At 36.4% G+C, this 17739-nt stretch overlaps 1 protein-coding gene across 5 annotated transcripts in view; it reads left to right on the top strand.

The window, feature by feature from the left end:
- The window catches only part of SYDE2 (synapse defective Rho GTPase homolog 2), a 48526-nt gene that overhangs the window by 23879 nt on the left and 6908 nt on the right, over nucleotides 1-17739 (top strand). For 2 of the 5 annotated variants that reach the window (XM_017002483.2, NM_032184.2), the window contains exons 5-6: nucleotides 7913-8094; nucleotides 12381-12612. In XM_017002483.2, the coding sequence (XP_016857972.2) occupies nucleotides 7913-8094; nucleotides 12381-12612 (414 nt within the window). Of the gene's footprint in view, nucleotides 1-843; nucleotides 2871-7912; nucleotides 8095-12380; nucleotides 12613-17270; nucleotides 17315-17739 lie in introns of those variants that run through there. The other 3 variants (XM_017002484.3, XM_047431920.1, XM_006710946.4) reach the window with 3 other exon arrangements.

Below are 17739 nucleotides of genomic sequence, written 5' to 3'. Positions count from 1 at the left end.
GGCAAAGAAAGAAGAAACACCTAAAGAGATTGAGAGGAAAGGAGTCAGAATGTTTGGGAAATAAGAGACAACAGAGATTAAGCAAAGGTGTGATACAGTCATTCTATGGAGAGATTATATGAGAAAAGAAAAGGGCCTTTGAATTTGGCCATTAAGAAATGGCTCATAACCTTATTGGTAACCTTCAGGAGCTACTGGTTTATAATAATTCCATATTTGTTTTTGTCGTTTTAATTTTTTAATTATTGAAATTTTCAAGCATATGCGAAAGTAGAGAGAATACTATGAAAAATCCTCTCTGTCACCTGGTTTCCATAATATCAACACATGAACAGACTTGTCTCATTCATCCCCCCATTTGCTTCTTCTCAACCCTTGATTATTTTGAGAAAATCTCAGACGTATCCTTTCATTTATAGATGCTTCAGTGTGTATCTCCAGATCTTCTGTGTATTTTGGTAGTTCTTTCTCCTCTCTACTGACAACTGCCATTTTTTTCTTGCTGTAATGTGTTAATTTTTCTCTTATAACTTGCTTTCTTATTTTTACTCAAAATTAATTGTTTGGGTTAAAATTTGAGGAAGGTTCATCTTGTACGTATTTAAGAGAATTTTGTTGGTGAAAATCCTTAAAGCTTACTTTTAGGATTGAGGCTTTCTGAATAATTGAGCTTCCCACCCTTTGAGTGCTGAATGACTGTATTTTCATCAAGTATTTAATATATAACTCTTGGATAATCAAAACTTTGATTCCAAGCATTTTAGTAAGATAAAACAAACTGTCACTTTTTTCTTACATATTTTAACAAATCAGAAATAATGGTTCCTTTTAATTTTTATATAGGAAGAGGCATATTTCTACAAAAAATTGAGATACCTGAAGAATGTTCTTTCCTTGTTAATGTGTAATTAACAAAATCAGCAAAAGACTCATTTTATGAATCCATGAAAGAGAAGTTTTATAAATACAAATTTCCAGCAAGTACACTCTATAAATAAAAATAGATTTGGTCTTGGTGAAGCTTTGTCTTATAAATAAAAATTATGTTAAACATGTATAATTTTAAAATATGAAGTGAAGAAAGGGTTCCTAGTTTTGGAAATTGGCAGCATATGCAGAAGATATGAACAATAGGTCAATGAATATTGGATTTACAGCATTCTTTCCTAAAATTGAGAGTTTCTGTAATTTATAAATTGGATATTTCTTGGCTCAATTCTTTGTACTATTCCATTTGGGTAAAGCTGTTTTTCAGAAGAATTTAGAACTATTTTTTTCTTGATAAAAAGGCAATGAAATGATTTAAGATTTGTCTGCAAAATAATTGCATGACACAAGGTTTTCATGGCTAAAAATAAAGGGTATTGTTGATTTGAGGAGTTAGCCAGTGACAGTGATGCTTAATGTGTTTGTTCCTCATGAACTCACATTTCTGAGTAAACTTTGAAATATGATTAATAGTTCAGTAGGTCTAAAAAATGAGAAATTAATGAAATGAGTGACAGATTTTGTTCACAGTTTAATGTGTTTTTAGTAGTTGGTTTGTCTGGAGCATGGAATGAAATACTCCAGACGAACCAGTTTTTTTTTAAATCAAGTGCAAAATTTTAGGTATAAAATCCATTCGTAATTCTTTTTTGTTTGTTTGCTTTTTGAGAAAGAGTCTCACTCTGTAGCCCAAGCTGGAGTGCAGTGGTGCAACCTCCACCTCTGGGGCTCAAGCAATTCTTGTGCCTCAGCCTCCCGAATAGCTGGGACTACAGGCACACGCCACTACGCCCAGCTAGTTTTTTGTATTTTAGTAGAAACAGGGTTTCACCGTGTTGCCCAGGGTGGTCTCGAATTCCTGAACTCAGGAGATCCTCCCGTCTCAGCCTCCCAAAGTGCTGGGATTACAGGCGTGAGCCACTGCGCCCAGCCTATTCATAATTCTTTATAGGGCTTATTACCAAAGAACAGAAGGCTTTTTAAAAGTCATCTATTGTTTAGTGATTATTAAAAATAAGTCTTCTGATGAGGATTACATGTATCTAACTACTGTAAAATAGATTTCATGTCAGTGCTACATAATCAGTATCTAGGTTCAGTACCTGAAAGTTCATTTGACCATGCCTTTTTATGATTTTAATCCTACCATAGTCATTTTTGTCCTATTTGCCATTCACGGAAAACTTTATCAGAATATAAGTAAATGATCTTGAAAACATTAATATTTATCTTTTTTGTACATACTATACATTTTCTTACCATACATATTATATGTTCTCTGACCTCTGGAACATTAACTCACAAATTGTTTCCGTTTTCCTTTACCTAGATTGCATGTAGATGTCAAAACTGTGCAAGCACCAAGGAATGCTAAATGTTGAGGAATGGTCATAGACTTAGCAACCCACATATACTGAGATTGTTTATGAGAGCCATTTGGTCTGAGTAACATGTATAGGGTATGACTAAAGTAGGTGGTAAGGCCAAAAAGAGTAAGTGAGGTAAGGTGGGGGTGGGTTAGTGGATTTAAAAAAGTAATTTGTAGCTCTACCTTCAGGAAATGTCAGTGATTCAACATTCAAATCTACCTAATCAACTGTATCTTTACTACCTATATAAGTTTTGTATGTGAGAGAATGATTCTCATTTTGTATATGTGCATATTCAGTCTTCTGATTCATAGGTCCTAAATGCTTTTGTATTTATTTAGGCTTATTTTGAAGCCCAGAATATGGTCTTTTGTGGTAAATGTTCCATTTGAGCTCTTGAAAAGAATGTATATTCTGGTGGTTTTGGACAGATTGTGCTGTAACTATCAATAAAGTCAAGTTAATTAATAAATTGTGCTGTAACTATCAATAAAGTCAAGTTAATTAATAATGTCCCTGTCTTCTACATCTTTGTTTTCTTTCTACTCACTGAGAGGCGTGTTGAAATCTTCAACTATAATTGTAGTTTTTCTCTATTTTTTCTTCAAACTGTTTTTGTTTCCACCCCACCTACCCACTGCCACTACTTTGCCTTTGAAGATTACAATTAAGCATGTCTTAGGCCATTTTACGTTATGTGACAGCTCACTGATAATGTATTTTTTTTTCAGCTTTTTCCATACTTCGTTTCATTTTAGATTGTTTCTATTGCTGTATCTTCAAGTTATATTAGTCTTGTCTTCTGATATTAATTTCATTCATTGCATTTTTAGTTTCAGACACCCTAATTTTCACTACTAGAAGTTCGATATGGGTTTTTCAGTATTTTCCATGTCTCTACTTAATATGTTCAGTCTTTATTCTAGCTTCTTGAACATATGAAATACAGTTATAATAAGTGTTTTCATGTTCTTGTCTACTAATTCTATTGTGTATGTCTTTTCTGGGTTGGTTTCCATTGATTTTACTCCTCATTATAGGTTATATTTGCCTCCTCCTTTATATGCCTCGTAATTTTTTACTGGACATCAAATGTAAATTTTACCTTCTTGGGTGCTGGATATTTCTGTTGTTTGGTATGCAAGTACGTTACTTGCAAAGAGTTTTTTTAGTCTTGCTTTTAAGCTTTATTAGGCAGAATGTGAACTGCTTTTAAATAAGGCTCTTCTTTGTCTATTTCTTTGATTCTCTACTGAAGCAAAACTCTGCTATATACTGTGTACTTATATTAGCTTTCTATGGCTGCCATAACAAAGTACCACAAACTTGGTGGCTAAAACAACAGAAATGTATTTTCTCACAGTTCTGGAGGCTGGAAGTTCAGAATCAGCATTAGCAGGGCCCTGCTCCCCCTGATACCTGCAGGGGAATCCTTCCTTGCATCTTCCTAGTTCTGGTGGTTTGCTGGCAACCTTTGACAGCCCTTTCTTTGCCTGTAGATGCATAACTCCAATACTCTATCTTCACATGGCATTCTCCCTGTGTTTCTTCATATCATCTGCTCTCTCTCTGTGTCCCCCATTTTATAAGAACATGTCATATTGGAGTAGGGCCCACCCTAGTGACCTCATTTAACTTGATTACCTCTGTAAAGACTCTTTCCAAATAAGGTCCTATTCTGAGGTACTAGGAGTTCAGACTTCAACATGTTTTATTTTTGGTTGGGGGTGGGGGCCACAATTCAACATAGTGCTGTACCCATATCCCATGAATTATGAAGTTTTCCACTCTGGCTGCATGGAACGAGAGTGATTGCCCACACTATGAAAACTCCAAGAATTGTTCTCTCTAATCTGTTTGGCTGGTTCTTTCTCCAGCCTTGGGGAGTTGCCCCACCTGCGTGTGCTGATTAGTACTCAGATGAACACTTGGGACTCCTTGCTGATTTCCTGAGTCATGTCTAGGCAGCCCTTTACTCTCAAGTGCTCTGTCCTGCAAGGTCTAGCAGCTTTAGCCTCCTTGAATTTCTAGCTCCCCTTCAACTGTCGGGCTTTACCTGGGTTTTCATTTCCTTACTGCGACCTGCAAAGTCTCTCCAGGCAATAAGCTGTGGTTGTTGTGGGCACACTTCATTTGGTTCCCATCTCTCAGGGATCCTTGTCCTTTGCCTGATGTCCAATGTCTTAGACATAGTATTGTCAGATATTTTGTCTGGCATTTTCAGTTGTTGCAAGCAGGAAGGTAAATCTAGTCCCTATTGCTCCATCTTGCCTAGAAACACTGGTCTGCCTTTCTAGCCTGTATCTGGGTTACTGATTGCAATGAGAAAAAAAAAATCAATATTATTTGGTATCAGTATTAATCCATGTACTTCAAAGTCATTAGAAGGCTGTGAATGGTGCCTAATAATTGTATGTTTTCCTATCAGCTCTCTTATACTCTGGAGTGTCTACTTAATATCTTCTCACTCCCCTCAAACCTCATTTCACCCATGTCACTCTTAGCAGACGACCTTGCCTCCTAACTTCACAGAGAAAACAGAAGCCATCAGATGGGAACTTGCTCTACTTCTTGTGACCCAGCCTATCAATGTGCCTTCTTTGGCATACATTCTTTCCACTTCCTTTCTGTAATAATAGAGAAATGATCTTCCTTACATCTTGGACAAATTCTAATTCCTTCATGTGTACTCAGAAGTTTCTTCTTTCTTCTTAGGGACTTTGCTCAATTGATCATATTTCCTCTCTCCTGAACCTTGAAAACCTTTTTTACTATCTCCTTTACATTACCATTGAAATGTTTAGGTGTCTCCTGTTTTTAAAGAAAAATCTCCACTTTGATCTTGTTTCTCCCCCGCCCTCCCCTCTTCTCTGTGGTTATCTACTTTTCTCAAAGCCAGATTTCTTGAACAGGTTGTGTGCATTTCTTTGTCTATTTCTTTAATGCCCATTTACTTCCTAACCAACTGCAACTTGAGTTCAGTGTCCTTTATTTTCCTGAAACTGTGCTTGCCAAGGTTGCTGACTTCCTTTTCTGGTGGACATTTTTGGGTTCTTAAATTGTCTCTAGATCATTATTTTCTATACCTGGTTACAAAACCCCATTGTCTAAACATAAGACAAATTTGTTAAAAATACTGGGACAGGAGCTCTGACCTCTGTACATTATGATTTAGTATGGCTGGCATGGGGCTCCAGAATCTAATTTTTTTTAAAGCCTCAGTGTGCAGCCAATTTTGAAAAAACACTGTTCTCTGCAATATTTAACACTATTCTTATCTAACCCAACTATTGTTTGGGTATCATTAGATATCATAGACTCTTTCTTGAAACATTTTTCCTCGACTTGGCCTCACTTTTGCCACTCTCCTCTCGCCCCATCCCCACCTCCTCTCACCATACATACATCTTTTGCCATTCTTCCTTAGTCACAACTGGAAGATCCTCTTCCCTGATGACCCCTGGAAAGTTGATGTTCTTCAGGGTTATTTTCTGAGCCTTCTCTTAATCACTCTGTATGTCTCCCTGATAATCATTCCCAAGATCCAGTTATCTTTAAGTTGATCATTCTTAAATCTGTGTCTCCAGTCATCTCTTTCATCTCAGATTTTTATATCCAGCAGCCTTGAATGCCCCATAGATACCTTAAGCTCCATATGTTCAAAATGAAACTCTTCTCTTTACCCCCTAAAACATGATTTTCCTCCTGCGTTCTCTATTTGAAATAGTGTCACTAGTATCCACCTAGATACTCAAGTTCCAAGCCTAGGAAAGAAACATTCTTATTCCTCTTTTTTCCTCAAAATTGCAAATGCATTTTTTACTTAGCAGTCCTGTTTTAAGAATTTATCCTACAGACATACCTGCATATATACAAAGTGATTGTGTGCAAGGTTATTAATTGTAGCATGTTTTGGAAAAACAAAAGATAAGAAACAATTCTAGTATCCATCTGTAAGAGACTGAATAGATAAGACTATGGGACATCCTTACATTGAACTACTATAATGTGGCTATAAAAGTGATTAAGGAAGCTCTCTATGGCCTGAAAAGATCTCAAGGATATGATGTTAAATGAAAAAGCAAGAAACAAAATAGCATATGCAGGTTTCTTATTTCTGATTTCTTTGGGTTTTGGAATATTTGCATTATGTGTACCAGTTTAGCATGCCTAATCCAAAAATCAAAAATCCAGAATGCTCTAATGAGCATTCCTTTGAGCATCATGTTGGCATTTTAAAAGTTTTGGATTTTAGAGCATTTTGGATTTTTAAACTAAGGATACTCAACTCTCAATGAGGGAGACAAATCATATTTATATTTGCATAAACATTAGAAGGATGCATAAGAAACTAATGAATCATGTTACTATTAAATATTTAAAACTTGGGGCCAGGCACAGTGTCTCATGCCAGGTACTCTGGGAGAATAAGGTGGGAGGATCACTTGAGGCCAGCAATTCAAGTCTAACCTGGGAAGTATAGTGAGACACTGATCTACAAAAAATAAGAAAATTAGCCAGGTGTGGGGGCAACCACCTGTAGTCCTAGCTGCTTAAGAGGCTGAGGTGGGAGGATTGCTTGAGCCTAGGAGTTTGAGGTTACCAGTGTACTCCAGCCTGGGTGATGGAGCGAGACCCTGTCACAATTAAAAAAAAAAAAAAAAAAGAGATGGGAAGCTTCGTATAGAATCATGTTTAAGTTCAAACTAAGCAAGGCTGAGAGCATGTTCTGGATCAATATTGTATATATTTAGGTTTTGGTGTTAGGAGTATCTCCTGTTTTCCTTTGTGATCACATGCCAGCCTTTAGCTTGTATCTTACCTACCTTACTTATATATAACAACCACTATTCTTTCCAGTTTCCTCTACTATAAGTAATATTTCTTAGTTCAAAACTACGTGTGGAATGTTTGCAATTGACTTTCCTCATTCCCATTATAGTGACACGTCTGATGTTTTCTGTTCTTAGCTTTTGGTTTTATTTGTTTGGTTTTAGGAATGATTTTTTCTTGCATATGATAGTGTAGCATTAGCAATTATCCAGCCATCCAATATATCGGTTTAAGACATTTCTCCAGTGTTAAAGAGGAAATGTATTTATTTCCAAGGGTTTCAGACAATTGGTACTCTTTCATTATCAATTTAAAGTCTAGAAACTCAAAATTTGTGTAATTGGAATAATTCATAATTAACATAAATATGCCTTGCTTTCTTAACTTCTGTTTCACATGCATTTAGAGAAGCTTTTTATAGGGGGCAGAATCAATAAGGGTATATGTATCAAGAATAGCTTACTTTATGATTAACAAACCTAACGTGTGGTAACTGAAAATTATGTGTACATTTTTAGCATGCTTTCAAAACAAGTCAATTACCAAGGCAACTTAAAAGAATACAAAATGCTAGTATTTTATAATTCTTTTTATGTTGTTGCCTTTATTGTTTTCAAAATGTTGAAAGTTGGCTATAATACTTAAATTTTAAAAAATTGACCATAGTTCTTTATTTCACTCTGCAGTCCAATCACCAACTGTCTGCGGTTTGTTTTTTAAAGGTGTTCTTAAGGATTATTTAAGAGAACTCCCTTCTCCTCTGATAACAAAGCAGCTTTATGAGGCTGTATTAGATGCAATGGCAAAAAGTCCTTTGAAAATGTCATCAAATGGTTGTGAGAATGACCCAGGTGACTCTAAGTACACTGTTGACCTGCTGGATTGTCTGCCAGAGATTGAGAAGGTAAGCATTACCAGTATACATTTTTCCTGAAAGCCAGTTAATGAACTGTATACCTACCTCCAGAGCTACAAATAATTTTAGATATTTGACATTTGTGGCACTCATGGATTTAAAAGCTCTGCCATTACTGCCTTTAAACAGCCTAAGTCTGTAAAAGCTTCTTAAACAGAATAAATCTAGAAAACAGTTTTATCTTTTCTATATGTGATTTTAGCCCAAGCATGAATACTCACTGAAGTTTTTTTAATTGTATTGTTAAAATATTATTACAATAATATTTGTTCATTATAGAAATATTGAAAAGATACAGAAAAGAAGAATATAAAATTGCAATCATCAATATCCAGAGGCAGCTATAATTAACATTTTGGTGTGTCTCCTTTTAGTATTTTTTAGATACAACAACTGTGTTGGTGTACATGGCTTAACTTTAAGACAAACAAAAGCCCCTCCCCTCGTTTTTTCCTCCTTATCCTTTCCATTCACCCCCTCTCCAAAATCTTCAGACCAGCATCCTCAGCTATGCCTGTAGGAGAGAGAGAGAAGGATAGGTAGGTCTTCAGAACCAGCCTTAGCCTAACTTTATCTGTTGTTCCTTAGAATAGAAGGGAAAATAGGAGAAATGTATGACTGGGCTTGTCTAGATGAGGCTAAATTTGCCTACATTTTTTATCATGTTGGGGCAGAAAGAGCAAGAATTAGTGGGTAGAAACTGTAAGTCCAGTAACTTGACTTGCGAGTTTACTGTGGTCCCCTGAATGTCCTGTGCTCTGTCCAGTTGGATTAACAGTTACTCCTCCTTTGGATTAGGGGAAGGGAACAGCTAAAGAGTGCAGAAGCACAAGGGTGGGGTGAAGTTTAAGGGGGTGGGTGGAAAAAGTAGAGATACTGGTTTCCCAACACTAGGTAAAATTTTTTTTTTTTTTTTGAAGAAGGAGTCTCACTCTGTTGCCCGGGCTTGAGTGCAGTGGTGCGATCTCAGCTCACTGCAACCTCCACCTTTACAGGTTCAAGCAATTCTCCTACCTCAGCCTCCTGAGTAGCTGAGACTACAGGTGGGCGCCACCATGCCCGACTTATTTTTGTATTTTCAGTAGAGACGGGGTTTCACCATGTTGGCCAGGCTGGTCCCAAACTCCTGACCTCCAGTGATCTGCCCACCTTGGCCTCTCAAAGTACTGTGATTACAGGTGTGAGCCACCATGCCCAGCACTAGGTAAAATTATAAGTGCCACTTATAAGTGAAGAACTGCCTGTTAGGGAATTTAAATCACTTGCCGAAAGTTACATACTTCTGTGAATATTAAATAGTCTATCACACTATAAGTCTTTCTGACTCTAAGGCCCATGCTATTACCATCCTTTCTAAAAAGACTGAGTAAGCCTGGGCTGTATGGCGAAACCGTCTCTACAAAAATTACAAAAATTAGCCGGGCATGGTGGCACGTGCCTAGGGTCCCAGCTACTTGGGAGGCTGAGGTAAAAGGATGGCTTGAGCCCAGGGAGGGCTACAGTGAGCCGAGATCATGCCACTGCATTCCAGCCTGGGCAATAGAGCCAGACTTTGTCTCAGTCAGTCAATCAGTCAATAACTGTGTGATATACCATTGAGTGGATTTGACAACATAATTTATCAGTATTCCCTTTTGTATATTTAGATTTTGAGTGATTTGTAAATATTTGTACACAGATTTATTTTTAATTTAGAATTATTTAGAATAGAGTCTCAGAAGTGGAATTGCTTATTTAAATAATATGAACATTTTAAGGCCCTTATATGTTTGCATACTAATTTTCTTCTTTTTTTTTCTGGTTTTTTTTTTTTTTTTTGAGACAGGGTCTCACTTTGTCTCTCAGGCTGGAGTGCGGTGGTGCAAACACAGCTCACTGCAGCCTCAACCTCCCCGGCTCACGCCATCCTCCTGCCTCAGCCCCCCAAGTAGCTGGGACTTCAGGCATGTGCCGTCACCCTCAACTAATTTTTTTTGTATGTTTTGTAGACACTGGGTTTCACCGTGTTGCCCAGGCTAGTCTCGAACTCCTGAGCTCAAGCAATCTACCCGCCTCGACCTCCCAAAGTGCTGGGATTATAGGCATGAACCACCACGCCCAGCCAGACTAATTTTCAAAAGGAACATGACAATTACATTTTTTGGCTTATCTTATTTAGTAGTCAAAAAAAATTTGCATTCCTTTGCTTGCTATTGAGATTGAACATATATTTAACCAGGTGTAGTGTGTTGTTTGTGTCTGTGTGTGTGTATGATCACAATTATTGCTGGAAATACCCTTAAGAGGCCAATGTATATGGAGTTGTGTTAGGAAATAATTATGAATTTAAAAAAGAAATATGATTCATATATTTGACTTGTTTTGATTTAAAATGCCATATTCTTCTCTAGTTTTCATTCTCTCTTCATTCCTTCCCTTCATAGCCAAACATTGAAGGGCTATTTATTCCAGCTGTTATCACTTCTTCATCACTCATTTACTACTCAGCACATTGTAATCTGGCTTCCTACCTCATCTTGCTGGACTTGTTCTTGCCACAGCTATTAAATGGCCTTCTGACCAGCAAATCCATTTGTCGCTTTTGGCTCCAGAAATAATGTTATTTTGATTTTTCTTTAAATAAGATTTTTACCAGCTTAGACAACATAGCAAGACCCTGTCTCTACAAAAAAAAAAAAATTTTTTTTTTTTTTGAGACGGAGTCTTGCTCTGTCACCCACGCTGGAGTACAGTGGCACAATCTTGGCTCACTGAAACCTCTGCCTCCCAGAATAAGTGATCCTTCTGCCTCAGCTTCCTGAGTAGCTGGGATTACAGGTGTGCACCACCACACCAGCTATTTTTTTGTATTTTCAGTAGAGTCGGGGTTTCCCATGTTGACCAGGCTGGTCTTGAACTTCTGACCTCAGATGATTCACCTGCCTTGGCCTCCCAAAGTGCTGGGATTACAGGCAAGAGCCACATGCCTGGCCTACAAAAAAATTTTTAAAAATTAGTGGGTATGGTGTCGCATGCCTGTAGCCCGAGCTACTTGGGAGGCTGGGGTGGAAAGATTGCTTGAGCCAGGAAGGTCGGTGCTGCAGTGAGCTGTGATCATGCTACTGTACTCCAGCCTCGGCAACAGAGTGAGACCCTGTCTCCAAAAAAAAAAAAAAAAAAAAAAAAATTAAAGTTTTTAATTGGCATCAATGTCTTCAATACAGTTTTGAAGAAAAAATTACTCATTTTGTTAAATGATTGATCCTATGCCACTACATCAAAAAACATCATTTCTTTCCATAACTGTTGAAACCTAAATAACCATTCCACTTTTTGAGCCAACTCCCCTTACTAGTTTCTTTAAGGATTAAAAAATATTTTTTTTGGTAATTTTTTTCTTTCATTTCTAACTGTACTATTCTTCTTTTTAAGGTTTATTTACCACATATATATATTTATTTATTTATTTATATGTATATTAGTTAAGAAGCATATTGGCCTTTTAAACATGTCTTTCATAATCCAAATCATTATAGAACCTGGCCATGTTCCGGAATGGTTAGCTTCCTAGATTTAAGCATGATAGTGATTACAACTTACAACTACAGGACTTATCTGTACTTAAAAATGAACATTCTTACCCTAATCCCCTTTTCATCACAGCCTTTGCTGTTGCCATGTTAGAAGAGAAAGAGGTAATGGACGCATTTTCCCAGGGATTCCAGCTGAAATTTGGAATGCATTCATAAGTATTTTATAAAGAATGTATATTTTAACCATTTAATGGATTAAATTGTGTTGTTGGAACATAATTTTTTTTTGACAGGGTCTCGTTCAGCCACCCAGGCTGGAGTGCAGGGGTATAGTCTCAGCTGACTGCAACCACCATCTCCTGGGTTCCAGCGATTCTCCCATCTCAGCCTCCCGAGTAGCCGGGATCGTAGGCACCCGCCATCATGCCCGGCTAATTTTTCTATTTTAGTAGAGATGAGGTTTCACCATGTTGGCCAGGCTGGTCTTGAATTCCTGACCTCAGGTGATCCTCCTGCCTCAGCCTCCCAGAGTGCTAGGATTACAGGCATGAGCCACTGTGCCCGGCTGGAACATAATTTAGGCCCCATATAATGTTTCTATTAGAAACTATGTTCTAGGTTCCAAACATCCAATTTATACGCAAATCTTTAAAAAAAATCCTTTTAAAAGTGACAAGATGCTTATCTGTATTTCCTGCTATAAATTGTGTCCTTGAATTTGCCTCTTTATGACTATATTAATTGAAATTTAATTTAATTTAGGCAACCCTAAAGATGTTGTTGGATCATTTGAAATTGGTGGCTTCCTATCATGAAGTGAATAAGATGACGTGCCAGAATTTGGCTGTGTGCTTTGGACCAGTATTATTAAGTCAGAGGCAAGAGCCTTCCACCCATAACAACAGAGTCTTTACTGATTCAGAAGAACTTGCAAGTGCTTTGGATTTTAAAAAACACATTGAAGTTCTTCATTACTTACTCCAACTCTGGCCAGGTAAATGATTCTATGGAAATGTTTTTCACTTTCAATGATAGGGTATTTGAATTAACTAATCATTAAATATGCTCATATATGATTGAAGAAACTCTTCTAGATTTTGCTTTTTCAAAATGTTGTGAATTGATACCTGCCCTTTAGATTTTTTTCATTTAAATGTTTTCTGCCTTTGCTGATGACATTGTAGGCATGTAGATTAATGTGCACATGTTAGACTTGGTCAGATCTAGATTTAAATCCTGGTTGTACCACTTATTAGCAATCTGACCTTGGGTTGGTTTCTTAACGTCTTAGAGCCTTGTATCATCTTTTGTCATATGGATTTAATAATATGTTTATAGATTTTTATTAGGATTTTTAAAAATTGTGTATGTAATGTGCTCAGTGTAGCTCTTGACATGTAATAGAGACTCAATAAACACTAATTTATTTACTCTTCTCATTTTTAGTTCAACCGGTATAAAGCAGAATTCATTTTTCCCCTTAAATCAATTCTTCTTTACGTCTTTAACTGCATTCATGGTCATTAGTCAAATTATCTCAGCTTAAATTGGGAATTACCCTTGACCTTTCCATCTTTCTTATCCAATCCTTATTTCAATCAATAACTAAAGACTGACAAATATTTTCCTAATTATCTCTGATGTAATTTCAGAGTTAAAAGAAATATGTGTTTAATTTGACATTCTATAAAGGACACTGCATTTAAATTTCAAAATTTTCTTAGATTTTAGTAACCCCTGCTACTCTCACCCCACACTGCATGGGACCAAGTGTGAAGTACTTTGGTGTTTAGTGTAGAGCACACTAGTAACCGTGCTTGGCCCCGGGGTCAGGTTTGGGTTCAGATCTGGATGGTGGCACTTGCCAGCAGGATGGGCTACGACAAAAACTTTAACCTCTTCAACTCCCAGTTTGCTCCTCTCTAAATCATGCCTGCCTCAGGGTTGTTGTAAAGATTGAGATAAAGCATCTAAGGCAATGAGCAAAATGTTTAGCACAAAGTGAGCACTCAGTCAATGTCTTTGGTTACTCTTTTGTTATATATATATATATATATATATATATATATATATAGATTAAAGTACAAGAGAATGCTTGATTTCATCGTTTAAAGTGAATTAAAAATTAAGTTAATAAAAATTTTCCAGCACTTTGGGAGACCGAGGCAGGTGGATCACAAGGTCAGGAGTTTGAGACCAGCCTGGCCAACATAGTGAAACCCCGCCTCCATTAAAAATACAAAAATTTAGCTGGGCATGGTGGCGGGCACCTGTAGTCCCAGCTACTTGGGAGGCTGAGGCAAGAGAATCGCTTGAACTAGGGAGGCGGAGGTTGCAGTGAGCCGAGATTGCGGAAGTGCACTCTAGCCTGGGGGACAGCGTGAGACTCCGTCTCAAAAAAAAAAAAAAAATTCAACTTTAAAATTTGGAAAGTTAAAGCTTTTACTTTCTTTTAAATGCCGGCTTAAAAATTATTCTAATTCATGTTTTAACTGAATTAGAATGTTATTTTAACTATTTTAAAACCCTGAATCAAGATTCTCAGGGTAATTGAGCTAATTTCAGCATTTGATGCCCAACATAAGGGATCTTTCAGAGTGTCAACTGTGTCTCCTTTTTCTAGAACAGCTTTAATTCTAATAAACACCAAGAATTTGGGAGAAAGCCATCTTGTCATTACCACAAATGAAAACTTGCTTCCCTGGAGATACCATTAAGTTTACTGTCAGTGCCTGAGTTTGTTATGATTATTAATTATTCTGTGCCAGAGGTTAAGGTCATTTTATTATTTTGTAATAGTAGCCACCTTAGTTTTGGGTTTGAGAGAAGAAACTTAATGTATATCTTGTGTTATAGAAAAAGCAGGTTCAGATTTCAAATTCACCGTATTCTAAAGACAGCCTTAAACAACTATTCCTAGTGTACAGCACCTTATTCCAAAGATTTGTGTTGGTGGTTTTAAAAATAACTGCTCCTTTTTCTATAACCTGTTATTTTTCTTTAGTTGTAGTACCTCAGACAAAAAACAGGGCAGAAAGTTGAGAAGAAACAACAGTTTTACCCTGTCAATCACCTGCTGTTGAATTCAAGAAAAGGCAGAAATCAAGTAGACGAGGTGCATTTACTTGGCCTGAGAAAGTTGATGGTGACATAGAGAATGTGGCAAAGACTAGTAGGCCACAGCATATTAACTCAGTGAATGCCTATCCTATCTCCATGCATTCAATAGAAGGTTTTAGCTTTCCTTGATATGCATATCTTATTTTTCCATTTGGAAATTCTCCAACTCCAGAGTTAAAAAGAGTCGCCCCCTTATTTTTTATTTTCTAAACTTTTTGTTTTGTTTCATGTTATTTTTTGTTTTTTATTTTTGGGCAAGAAGATAATTTGCTTTGAGATTTATATTTGAAAAATCCTGTCTTCAAAGTAATTGGTTAGAACTTCAGCGTATCAGCATTAGAAGGTAAAAGTCGTCCTGCCAATACTTTTTTAGATTGTCTTCTACTAAGCTCTAGGGTTCTTTGGAAGCAGCTTAGAAGCCAGATCAGCAAGGGATGGGGGAACAAAATGGAAACACACTTCCCGTTGACCAGAACAGCCTTCTTTTTTATCTGTTTTATGTATTGAGTTTTCACAAAAATGTTTCTTTTAGATATTCATTTTCTGTTTTAAGAATACTGAAAATAATACTCCTGGCCCCCCTATCACTTTAAAGATGGATAAATCAATTTAGAGAGAGTATAATTCCTAGATCCTTGCTATACCACATTTTCTTTCTTTTTTTTTTTTTTTTTGAGATGGAGTCTCACTGTGTCGCCCAGGTTGGAGTGCACTGGCGCAATCTTGACTCACTGAAACCTTTGCCTCTCAGGTTCAAGCAGTTCTCCTACCTCAGCCTCTTGAGTGGCTGGGATTACAGGCGTGTACCACTGCGCCCAGCTAATTTTTGTATTTTTAGTAGAGATGGGGTTTCACCATATTGGCCAGGCCAATCTCGAACTCCTGACTTCAAGTGATCTGCCTGCCTTGGCCTCCCAAAGTGCTGGGATTACAGGCGTGAGCCACCACCTGGCCACTATACCACATTTTCTATGATAAATATATTTGGGGCAAGTTTTTTGGAAAAGGTATCAGTTTTCCTCTTATTTCTTTTTATTTCATCTTTCTTACAAGATTTTAAGTTTGGTGACATTGGGGATTCTTTTTAACTTTATATTCCCAGGTCCTAGCAGAGTATTTGGGTTAAATAAGGTAATTATAGATAAAAGGATAATAAAGTACTAATTAGAAACAAATCTACTGGTAGAAAACAAGATAAGGAAAAATTAAGTTTCTTAGTACTTATTACATTTTGAATTCTTTTTCAGCAACCTTATAGACTGCATTTTTAATTTTGTTCTACTGAAGGTGGGTAGTCAACAGTGATGGGAAAACCAGAACTTTTGAGGTTAAAATTAGCCATTTTCACCGTATATTTAGTTGTAAACCACTCTGACATCAGTAGTCTAAAAAGTCAGTGATGTTGGTTTTTCAGAAATTGAAATTTTTAGTCTAAAAGATATAAAATATCAGTTTAATTGGTTTCTTAATATTTTCCAAGATAATACACAGAAACAATGTTTCAGTAGGGTCTTAGGTGAGTAACTCTAAGCGACTGGCAACAAAATGAATCTGGATTTTGCAGGCAAATGTCTGAAAATGCAGGCACAATAGGACAATTTTAAGACATAAAGCAAAAATACATGGTTAGATCAGACCAGATAACCTCAAGGCTAGCAGAATATTGTAATTGGTTGGTGAAAACAACAGGCATGACAGTTAAGCACTAAAAAGAAAAGGAATAGCACAAAGAATGAGGGGGGAAAAGCAAGGAGATAGTGGTGATAAGCAGCTAGAGGAAGAAAAAGAATATGAATAATTACACAGTGGAAAAATCAGTTATCCATTCTGCACTTACATCAGTTGATGGTATGGACCATTCTATATTAATACTAACATTAAAGATCAATTTAAAGTAAATAGCTTTTATTTTCTAGAAAATTTTAGATCAAGAAATTTTGGCTATCTATAGTGATACATAATAACCATCTTTAAAATGCAATAGAAATGTTAAAAACATACCTGTGTACAGTTATCAAATATTTCAATAAAATCTAAATTTAAAAAAGTGTGAGATCTATGAAAAATGTTATGAATATCACTTTAAGTCTGGAAAACTAGAACCATATATATGTTTTTATAGTTTTTCAGTTGTCTTATTTTATACAACAGCAAACAAGCATTCATTATATATTGGAGAGTATAAAGTTGGTGTGTTATCACTGATTTATGTTGCTTTATCTTAGTGCAGGGAAATAGGAAGGGGCACTTATTCATGCAGAAAGAGAAAGATATTATGGGTAATCTTTAATAGCTATGTGTCAGCATTTTAAATTGTCTATTTTATATACAGAATAGCCTTAAATATTTTGTTCAACACACAAGAGTAAACCTTGGTTTGTAATGAAGTAATGTGTGTCTCTGTGGTAATCGTCTATATGGCTAGCACAATGCATACTCTCAGAATAAACTAGTCTTAATGTGGAAAATGTTATTTGGGATTGTTAAATACCTAACCAGAATGAGAAAATAAAATATCTGTACTATTTCCAGGCAATAAATGAAGATAGTAGATAATGCTGTATAATCAAACTCAGGTAACAAAGTGGTCAAATCTAGTATTTGTACATTTTATCAAAGTGAAATTTGATCTGCTTAGTAAACTATGACTCTGATGCTAATAGAATTGCAGAAAAGCCCACAAGGGTCGGAACTTACTAGGCTGATCACTTTAGATGCCTTTGCCTCATTTAGATGTTTGCAGACAAAGGAACTTCTTGTTATATTTTGTTTGTACACCAATATGCCTTGCCTGCTTTTTGCTGTAGCTTTTAATTTAGGAGAAGCTACCAGCTTAGCTATTGTTTGAATTATAGCTAGATAATAATAAAGTTGCATAGAAAATTAATCGACATTGGAAATGTGATTTGTTTGGGGACGTTATGATGTAGCATGAATTAGCACCATGGAACGTTATACTGCTTCTATCCTTAATCTAGATTATTTCTGGTAATAAAAAATA

This window comes from Homo sapiens, chromosome 1 (assembly GCF_000001405.40).
Source record: "Homo sapiens chromosome 1, GRCh38.p14 Primary Assembly".
In the NCBI taxonomy this organism is placed as follows: Eukaryota; Metazoa; Chordata; class Mammalia; order Primates; family Hominidae; genus Homo; species Homo sapiens.
Note: the sequence above shows the minus strand (reverse complement) of the source record. Positions and strands in the feature narration are given on the sequence as shown.